Raw genomic sequence first — 11388 nt, 5'->3', positions numbered from 1 at the left:
CTGTCTTGATGACCTGTCTAGTGCTGTCAGTGGAGTACTGAAGTTCCCCACTACTATTGTGTTGCTGTCTATCTCATTTCTTAGGTCTAGAAGTAATTGTTTTATAAATTTGGGAGTTCCAGTGTCAGGTGCATACATATTTCGGATTGTGATATTCTCCTGTTGGACTAGTACTTTTATGATTACATAATGTCCCTCTTTTTCTTTTTTAACTGCTGTTGCTTTAAAGTTTGTTTGTTTGTTTGTTTGATATAAGAATAGCTACTCCTGCTTGCTTTTGGTGTCCATTTGCATGGAATATCTTTTTCCACCCCTTTACCTTAAGTTTATGTGAGTCCTTATGTGTCAGATGAGTCTCTTGAAGACAGCAGATACATGGCTGGTGAATTCTACATCATTCTGCCATTCCGTATTTTTTAAGTGGAACATTCAGGCCACTTACATTCAATGTTAATATTGAGATGTGAAGTACTATTCTCTTCATGGTGCTATTTGTTGCCTGAATACCTTGGTGTGTGTGTGTTGTTGTTGTATTATAGGTGCTGTGAGATTTATGCTTTAAGGAGGTTCTATTTTGGTGTACTTTGAAGATTTTTTTCAAGATTTAGAGCTCCTTTTAAGCAGTTCTTGTAGTGCTGGCTTGTTAGTGGTGAATTCTCTCAGCATTCGTTCATCTGAAAAAGACTGTATCTTTCCTTCATTTATGCAGCTTAGTTTCACTGGATACAAAATTCTTGGCTGATAATTGTTTTGTTTAAACAGGCTAGGAAGATAGGCTCCCAATCCCTTCTAGTTTGTAGGGTCTCTGCTAAGAAATCTGCTGTTAATCTGATAGGTTTTCTTTTATAGGTTACTTGATTCTTTCTTTTGCCTCACAGCTCTTAAGATTTTTTTCCTTCATCTTGACTTTAGATAACTTGATTACTATGTGCCTAGGCAATGATCTTTTTGTGAAGAATTTCCCAGGTGTTCTTTGAGCTTTTTGTATTTGGATGCTTAGATCTCTAGCAAGGCCAGAGAAGTTTTCATCAATTATTCCTCAAATATGTTTTCCAAACTTTTATATTTCTCTTCTTCCTCAGGAACACCAATTATTCTTAGGTTTGCACATTTAACATAATTCCAGACTTCTTGGAGGCTTTGTTCATTTTTTAAAAATTCTTCTTTTTTTTTTGGATTGGGTTAATTCAAAAGCCTTGTCTTTGAGCTCTGAAGTTCTTCCAGTTGTTTGATTCTATTGCTGAGACTTTCCAGTACATTTTGCAATTCTCTAAGTGTGTCCTTCATTTCCAGAAGCTGTGATTTTTTTTTATTTGTGCTATTTCACTGGAGATTTTCCACTCTTCTATATCTTTTTTTTTTTCCATATCTTTAAGTTGGACTTCACCTTTCTTTGATGCCTCCTTGATTGTCTAAATAGTCAACCTTCTGAATTCTTTTTTTGGCAATTCAGAGGTTTCGTCTTGGTTTGGATCCATTGCTGGTGAGCTGATATGATCTTTTGGCAGTGTTAAAGAACCTTGTTTTGTCATTTACCAGAATTGTTTTTCTGGTTCCTTCTCATTTGGGTAGACTATGTCAGAGGGAAGATTAGAGACTCAAGGGCCGTTGTTCAGATTCTTTTGTCCCACAGGGTGCTCCCTTGATGCAATGCTCTCCCCTTTCCCCTAGGGATGGGGTTTCCTGAGAGCTGAACTGCAGTGACTATTTTTCTTCTGGACCTAGCCACTCAGTGGAGTTACCAGGCTCCAGGCTGGGGAGTGTCTGCAAAGAGTCCTGTGATGTGATCCATCTTCAGGTCTCTCAGCTGTGGATACCAGCACCTACTCTGGTGGAGGTAGCAGGGGAGTAAAGTGTACTCTGTGAGGGTCCTTGGTTGTACTTTTGTTAAGTGCGCTGGTTTTGTGTTGGTTGGCTTCCAGCTAGGAGGTGGAGATTTCAACAACACATCAGCTGCGGTTTTATAGGGAGGATACAAGCTTGCCCTAGGGTCAGGTGGTGGGCAGGGCCATAGAGCTACCAAGGGATTATGTCCTTTGTCTTTGGCTACCAGGGCAGGCACAGAAAGACCATCAGATGAGGGCAGGGTTAGGTGTCTGAGCTCAGACTCTCCTTGGACAAGGCTTGCTGTGACTGCTGTAGGGGATGGGGATGTGATTTTCAGCCAATGGAGTTATGTTCCCAGGGGGATTATTGCTGCCTCTGCTACGTCACACAGGTCTCCAGGGAAGTGGGGAAAAACCAGCAGCCACAGGCCTTACCCAGCTCCCATGCAGCCCACAGCTTAAAAGGCTGGTCTTACTCCCACCGTGCCCCACGACAGCACAAGTTTATTTCCAGGCAGCCAGTGAGTAAGGCTGAGAACTTGCCCCAGGCTACAAGCCTCTCAGTTAAGAAAGCAAGAAGATTCACTGTTCCTAGGCTGTCCCATGGAGGCTGCAGCGGCAATCCACCTCTTTTTAAGGGTCTGTGGATTCTCTCATCTTTGCTGGTATGTTTCTGTGGCAGTTCTTGGAACAAAATTCAGGATGTGGGCTTCCATACGCTGCTCTGTTCATCAGTGTGGGATCTACAAGTTAGTCCTGCCTCCTATACGCCATTTGCCTTGGTTTTCCCCAATGTCAGTACTCTTAAAGCTAGCTTTGCTTCCAAGGCATCCTATAACATTAACCTTGATGCCCTTGACCTTGAGACAGGAGTAAATGAAGCAGCTAGTCTCTGTGGACTGCTCTCTCTGACAGGAGGAAACCCACTTCTTGAAAGCTCCTCCTCCTCCTCCTTCTTTTTGAGATGGAGTCTTGCTCTGTCACCCAGGCTGGAGTGCAGTGGCACGATCTTGGCTCACCACAACCTCTGCCTCCTGGGTTCAAGCGATTCTCCTGCCTCAGCCTCCTGAGTAGCTGGGACTACAGGCGCGTGCCACCATGCCAGGCTAATTTTTGTATTTTTAGTACAGATGGGGTTTCACTATGTTGGCCAGGCTGGTCTTGAACTCCTGACCTCATGATCCACCCCCCTCGGCCTCCCAAAGTGCTGGGATTACAGGCATAAGCCACCGCGCCCAGCCTCTTCTTAAGCCCCCTGAAGGTTAATGGGCAGCCTGCTAATGGTGAGGGTGGAAGAAGATTCAAACATTCAAAGTGATGTCTTTTTTTTTCTGGGAATTGTTTCTCTATTTTCTCCAAGCCACTTCATGCAGCGATCATGTAGTGTGAGTGGGGAACCTGCCTCAGGTCCCTGGGCTGTTTTCTGGCTGCTATCTGCCCTGCTTCTCATGGATGGTCCCAGTCATCAGCTTCCCAGCACATACAACCCTGTGCCAGTTCTCAGATGAGTCCTGACCAGCCCCATTTTCATACTTCAGCTCAGGGATCTGGTTCCTAAGGCAGACCCCTTGCTCCCAACCAGTCACACCCAGGCAAATATATTGTTTAAAAATATTTATTCAGCATCTACTATGTTTCAGGCACCATGCTAAGTACTGGCAATTCTGAAGCGAACAAGACAGACCTAGGACATAGCCCAACCTAGAAGGCAGGCACTAGGCAAGTAACTGCTCTGAAATGTCAGGATGGTTGTAAAAGGGGCCAGACATCAGGGTGCTATGGGGAATTCAGGAATCAGCCCAGCTAGTGCTCTATTCTAAGTGTTAGGAAGATGTTGAGGGTTTTAAGTAAAAAGAATGATGTTTAAGCTGAGATCTGAAGAATACATAGTAGTTAGCTAAATAAGGCAGTAAGGATGGCATGGGCATAGGGCCAGAAAGAGAGAAAGTGGCATATTTAAAGAACCAAATAAAGTTGACTATGCCTGGAACTTAGACATGGGGGTAGGCATGCAGAGCGCTGCCACAGGAGAGGCATGCAGGGGCCAGGCTGGAAGTGCTTCAAACGATGGCAGTAAAAAGTTGGTCCTTTTTCTTTGGAGAAATAGAAATAAGACGGATTTTAAGCAATGCTGTGTTTTTTTTTTAATAAGTTTTTTTTTTATTAAAGACAAGTGTTTCTTCACTGCTATAATAGAGAGCAGAAGATACCTTGTTGTGATGTTACAGAAATTCCTGAGCACCAAGCTCTTCACAGTCACATTCTTATAAGCCAAATATCAACTTCATGCCACACAAATATACCATAAAATTCGTGATCAGGAAATGAAATTAAGAGAACAAAAATCTAAGTATTGTTTTTAGTGATAACCCTCATGTTCTTTTTCCTAGTTCTGCCATTATTGCAAGACTCTGGTTCTATAATATTTGTATGGATGGTTTTTGCTTACTTTTGGCTTCTCCTTCTAATTGTCTGCAGAATGTCTAATTTGTCCTGGAATAGTCAATAGACTTACCCACCCAATTACACACTCCAAGGAAGTTACAAAAATCGAACCTGGAGTCTAGTGGACCCTTAACCCAGATTTCTCCAACAGTGGTAACTTATTTACCAGCATTACAATATCAAAACCAGGAAATAGGTATTGGTGCAATACTATTAACTAAATCACAAATTTTAATTTGGTTTTCACATGAACTGCCCTCTCTCTCTATCTCTCTCTCTCTCTTTGTGTGTGTGTGTGTGTGTAGTTCTATGCAATTTAATCCCACATATACATTCATGTAACCACCACAATCAAGATACTGAACTGGTCCATCACCATAAAGGAGCTCCCGCATGCTACTCCTTTCTATTTGCTTTCCCTTGGCAACTACTGATTAGCAGTATTGTTTTTAAGGTGTCTTCTTGTTGCTGGGTACTCTTTTAATCTGTTGTCTCTAGTTGCTAATAAAATTCCATGTAAATGGCTGGGCGCGGTGGTTCATGCCTGTAATCCCAGCACTTTGGGAGGCCAGGGCGGGCGGATCATGAGGTCAGGAGATCGAGACCATCCTGGCTAACACCGTGAAACCCTGTCTCTTGCAGTGACCTGAGATTGCACCACTGCACTCCAGCCTGGGCAACAGAGCGAGACTCCGCCTCAAAACAACAACAACAACAACAACAACAACAACAACAACAAAACATTCCATGCAAGTACCAAATTTTACTTATCCATTCTCCTGGTCATGACCTAGAGTACCTACAATTCTTTACAAGAACAGACATTATGGGTCCGTGTGGGTACTTCTCTAAGATGTGTTAATGTATAGCCAGGAGTGAATTTTTTGATGCCAAATGCTGTACGATTTGTTCATTTGACTCAGCAGTGCCAGATGCTCAAAATGTATCCCTTTGACCAGAGTCTATTTAATACATAGCAAGAGTGGATGGGGCCAGGCACAATAACTCAGTTCTATAATCCCAGTACTTTTGGGAAGCTAAGGCAGAGGATCGCTCGAGCCCAGAAGGTTGAGACCAGCCTGGCGACATAGGGAGACCCCGTCTCTACAAATAATGATAATTTAAAAATTAGCCAGATGTGGCATGCACCTGTGGTCCCAGCTACTTGGGAGGCTGAGGTGGGAGGATCACCTGAGCTGAGGAGGTCGAGGCTGCAGTGATTGTGCCACTGTGCTCCAGCCTGGGTGACACAGCAAACCTCAGTTTCAAAAAAAAAAAAAAAAAAAAAGAGTGGATGGAAAACGTAGTCTTAACTTCACAACCATGTGTCCAGGTAAACTTTCATCATTAGAAGGGGGCCTGTTAGCAATGATGGCAAGAGCTTCTATTCCTAGCCTGTTAAGGCTTTTGAGTAAATATTTGGTTTTACCCCTTCCATCCATGCATACGTTAATATAATCATGATTTTTCTCCTTTAGACTATTAATGTTGTAATTTTATTGGTAGGTTATTTTTATGTTGCCATTTCCTTACATTGCTGGGATAAACTCCACTTCATCATGATATGTTTTTAAAAATATAGTGTTGAATTTGTTTGTTAATATTTCATCTAGAATTTTTGCATCTACATTTATATGTCAGAAGGGCTTGTACTTTTATTTTATTTATTTATTTATTTTTTTGAGACGGAGTCTCCCTCTATCCCCCAGGCTGGATTGCAGTGGCACGATCTCGGCTCACTGCAAGCTTCACCTCCTGGGTTCATGCCATTCTCTTGCCTCAGCCTCCCGAGTAGCTGGGACTACAGCGGCCCACCACCATGCCAGGCTAATTTTTTGTACTTTGTTTTTTTTAGTAGAGACAGGGTTTCACCGTGTTAGCCAGGATAGTCTCGATCTCCTGACCTCGTGATCTGCCCGCCTCAACCTCCCAAAGTGCTGGGGATTATAGGCGTGAGCCATCGCTCCCAGCCAGTACTTTTAAAAATGTATTAATTTATTACATTTTAATTATTAATTAAATTTGTATTGTATAATTATTACAATATTAATTATTAATTTTAAAACCTCTGCTGTGTCTGTGGTTATTTCCCCATTTGCATTCAGTTTTTAAATTTGTACTTTCTACCTCTTTTTTTTTCACTTTAGTAGCCTTGTCACATCTATCTTATTAATCTTTCTGAAACACCAGTTTAAGGTTTTATTAATCTTCTCTGTTTTGTTGTTGTTTTTCTCTAGGTCATTGATATCTGTTCTATCTTTGTTATTATTTCTTTCTTTCTGTTTCTTTGCTTGTCCCTTCCCTGTATTCTTGAGTATTACTCTTTGTTTTCAATCTGTCTTATATCTTGATAAATGTAATTAAAGCTATACATCTGTCTCTAAAACCTACTGTAGATGTGGTCTTCAAATTTTGAAGTGTTTTCATTACCAGTTTTATATATTTATTAGCTTCATTTGTTATTATTATTTTATTATCAGAACTTTCATTTTACTGTTAGACCAACTATTAATAATTGTTTTCTGGGTTTTCTAGAAATAATGCATTTCTAGAAAAAAATTCTATTTCTAGAAATAACATAGTTTTGGAAAAATGTTCTCTAGTAATCTAACAGTTTTTTCACTATGCTTTTGAAAAATATTTTATAATTTTAATTCATTATGATTGAAAAATATATTCTTGATAACATTCATTCATTAGACTTTCTTGTAACTTTCTTTGTGGATTAATATATGATTAATTTTTAAAATTGTTTCATATATGCCCAAAAAGATTGTGTGTTTTCTGTTGGATATAAATAAAGCTTATTAATTAAAATACTCAGATTTCTATATCACTGCTTTTTCTCTGCTAAACCTATTCATTTCTGAAGACTCCATTTCCTCCTCAATAATTTTTTTGTGTTAAAACTTCCAATTAAAATGATTAATTTATTTATTTGCTATGAAGTTCTGTCGATTACCTTATTTTTTTGTTGCAATATTGTCAGGTGCATATGTGTTTGCTCTACTATTCTTTCAACAAGTATGGTTTCCTTTTTTGTCCTTTGAATTTTTCTATTAGATATTAAGATTGTTGCTTCAGCTTTCTTTTGGATCATATTTTCTTTATTTTCAAACTTTTTGTATTCTTTTGTTGTAAAGTTGTCTTCTGTAAACAGTATATTGTTGGATCTTTCAAAATGCTCAATTTGAGATGTTCTCTTTTGATTGGTTGTTTAACCTATTTACATTTCTCATAATCACTTTATATTATTACTTATTTCTTCCATTTTATTTCATGTTTTTCATTACTGATACTTTTTTTTCTTTTCTAATTTTACTCTTCACTGAGTAGATACGATTTTCTTTTGCTGGTTTAAAAGAACGTATTTTATTTTTGTTTTTATGGTCTTTGCTCTTAAGACATATTTGTTTATTTATTCATCCTGACTTACTAAACTTATAAATACCTATTTCTTTCCTCCAATAAGGCAAGTAGTTTAGCATGTTCTCTTATGTCTCTGGACTCTTCTTTCTCTCTCCCCCACCAATACATATAACAACAACAACAATAACACACACACAACTGATATGGTCTAGACAGAATTTAGTTCTGGGTTTTTATGAATATGGTTTTTAATTTGTGTTTTCATCACACTTTGATTTTTTAAGATAACAATTAATTTGCCAAATTATTTAATCACCCTAACTTCACATTTCTATACAACATCTGTTGTATTTATTTTCCTCTAATTTGAATATTTCTTCCAAGGGTTTTTCAAAGTAAGTTTTTGTATGACATAGGTTCTGAGATTTTGTATACCAGAAACTATGGTTGTTAAGTCCAGAATTTTTAAATTGTATCTTCATGTTTCATGTCAATTTGTCTGTATGTAAAATTCAATGTACAGTAGACCCTTTGAAAACTTGAGTGTGAACTGCAGGGGTCCACTTATATGCAGATTTTTTTCAACCAAATTAGATAAAAAATATGGTATTTGTGGGATATGAAACCCACACATACAGGCAGCCGACTTTTCATATACATGGGTGGGTTCTACAGGGCCAACTGCAGGACTTGAGCATGTGCAGACGTGGATATATATATGGGGGTTCTGGAACCAATCCCCCACATAAACCTAGGGATGACTGCACAACACTTTAAAAATATTACTTCTTTGTCTTCTTGCATCCAGCATTGTTACTGAGAGGTCTCAGGTCAATCTAATGCTTGTTCTTTTGTATGTTTTTCTCTCTGAAAACATTCTAAAAATTTCTTGCAGTCTTTGATGATTCTAATTCTCAGTAAAATGTCTAATTTTGGGGTTTTCTCTCTCTCTCTCTTTGGCTCTATATTATAGGCTCAATTTTCAACTTTATGTTTTTCTCCCTATGGAATCTCTATTATCTGAATACTGATATTTTTATCCTTCATATCCCTATTGTTTCTTTTCTTTTTTTAAAGAAAAGCTGTTTTACTTTCCCCTGCATTCTTGCATAGGTCTTTGCAATGATCTTGCAGGTTCCTAATTCAGTCCTTAGCTGTATCTATCCTGATTCATACTTCAGCTATTATGCATTTTGTTTCAACAGTTATATTTTTCATACCTGATATTTCTTCTTGGTTGTTCTTGCATCATATTGCTAACATCCTCCCTGATCAAGTTTTTGACAAGCCAATGAACCAGCTTGTACTGCTGGTACCTTCCTCCACAACTGTAAACTACAGAACTATAGCAGAGAAAAGCTACAAAAGAGAAATAATCATGGACATGATAAACTAACATATAATTGAGAACCCTCTGAGAAGACTGAAGGCTCTTTTGAACCAGAATGTGAGCAAGCACATGTTGGGGGATGGGTGTCTGCAAACTGGGGCAGAGAAGGAAAGGACAGGGGAGAGCTGGTAAACTCTCTACTTGTTCACTCCCGTCCTGCCTCATCACCACAGCAATCATCAGCAACAGTGTAGTTGGTCCAGTGGTGGAAAAGGGGATATGAGAAGAGGTAATCTGAAGACAGTGCAAAAAGAAAGAAAAGGAAAAGTCTATACAGCCGATTCTCACTATTCATGGTAGTTATGCTCTGTAAAGTTATTGCAAACACTGACTTAGCAAACTGAAACATTGCTCCCAGGGGAAATACAGGGTTAGATTCCTGTGAGCCTTAACACTGAGTGAGTAAACAGTGAGTCAACTGATCAATACAAAACCTAATTTTATGTGTGTTTCTGTTTAAAGACATCTTATTTGAGATATATTGTTGATGCATTAACATTGAACTCATGGCCACCAGCACTATGACTCATGCCTCAGAAAAGCTTGTATAACACATGTTTTCTCTATAAGCCACATGCATAGTTGATAGTTTGCCTAGAATACTAAGCTGAAAATTCCCCAGAATTTGAAAGCATCGCTTTGTTGTCTTCTAGCTTCCAGTATAGTTGTTGAGAAATCCAGTGCTATTCTAATTCTTTCTAATTCTTGATACTTGGTATGGTGTCTCTCTCTGTCTCTCTCTCCACTGCCTTTTTTCTTCTTCCTTCCCCTTACCCCTTTTCCTCTCTCCCCTTCTAATCTTTGTCCCAGTGTTCTGAAGTTTTACAATCATATATCTTGGTGTGAATACATTTTCTTTCATGGTGCTAGGTCCTTGGTAAGCACTTTAAAAAAATAGACTTTATTTTTCAGAACAGTTTTAGATTTACAGCATAATTCAGAGGAAGTTATAGAAATTTCCCATATCCCCCCTATCTCCGCCAACACACATAGCCTTCCCCATTATCAACATCCCCAACCAAGACTGGTGCATTTTTTAACAATCGATAAGTCTACATTGACAAATCATTATCACCTAAAGCCCATAGTTTACAATAAGGTTCACTCTTGACGTACATTCTGAGTTTGAACAAATGTGTAAAGGCAAGTATCCACCATTATAGTATCAATCAAAGTATTCTCAAATCTCTGAAAAGTATCTGTCTCCTGCTATGTATCCCTTCCTGCCATCTGACACCTAGCGACCACTAATCTTTTTACCGTTGCCACAGTTTTGCCTTTTCCAGAGTGTCATATAGTTGGAATCATATGGTATGTGTAGACATTTTAGATTGGCTCCTTTCACTTAGTAATATGCATCTAAGTCTTCCATGTCTTTTCATGGCTTGATAGCTAACTTTTTTTTTTTTTTTTTTTGAGATGGAGTCTCACTCTGTCATCCAGGCTGGAGTGCAGTAGTGCAATCTCGGCTCACTGCAATCTCTACCTCCTGGGTTCAAGTGATTCTCCTGTCTCAGCCTCCCGAGTAGCTGGGACTAAGGTGCATGCCACCATGCCTGGCTAATTTTTGCATTTTTAGAAGAGAGACGGTTTCACCATGTTGGCCAGGCTGGTCTGGAACTCCTGACCTCAAGTGATCCACCTGCCTCGGCCTGCCAAAGTGCTAGGCTTACAGGTGTGAGCCACCATGCCTGGCCGATAGCTCACTTTTTTCACACTGACTAATATTTCGTTGTTTGGATGTACCACAGTTTATTTATCCGTTCACTTACTGAAGGACACCTTGGTTGCTTCCAAGTGGTGTCATTATAAATAAAGGTGCTCTGGGCATGTGTGGGCAGTCTTTTGTAGGAACAAGTTTTCAACTTCTTTCGGTAAATACCAAGGAATATGACTGCTGGATTGTATGGGGAAAGTATGTACAGTTTTATAAGAAACTGCCAAACTGTCTTTAAAAGTGGCTGTACCATTTGCATTCCCACCAGCAATGTTTGAGAGTTCCTGTTGCTCCACATCCTCACTGGCATTTAGTGTTGTCAGTATTCTGGACTTTGGCCATTCTAATAGGTATGTAGCGGTATTCTCATTGTTGTTTTAATTTGCATTTTTCCTGATGACATATGATATAGAGCATCTCTTTGTGTGCTTAGGTGTTTGCCATCTGTATATCTCCTTTGGTGAGGTGTCTGTCAAGGTCTTTGGTCATTTTTAATCTGGTTGCTTGTTTTCTTATTGTTGAGTTTTAAGAGTTCTTTGTATATTTTGAATAATAATCCTTTAACTGGCATGTCTTTTGCAAATAATTTCTCATAGCCTGTGGCTTGTCTTTTCATTTTCTTGACTGTCTTTCACAGAGCA

This window comes from Homo sapiens, chromosome 1 (assembly GCF_000001405.40).
Source record: "Homo sapiens chromosome 1, GRCh38.p14 Primary Assembly".
NCBI classification, from domain to species: domain Eukaryota; kingdom Metazoa; phylum Chordata; class Mammalia; order Primates; family Hominidae; genus Homo; species Homo sapiens.
This window is presented reverse-complemented; position numbering follows the sequence as displayed.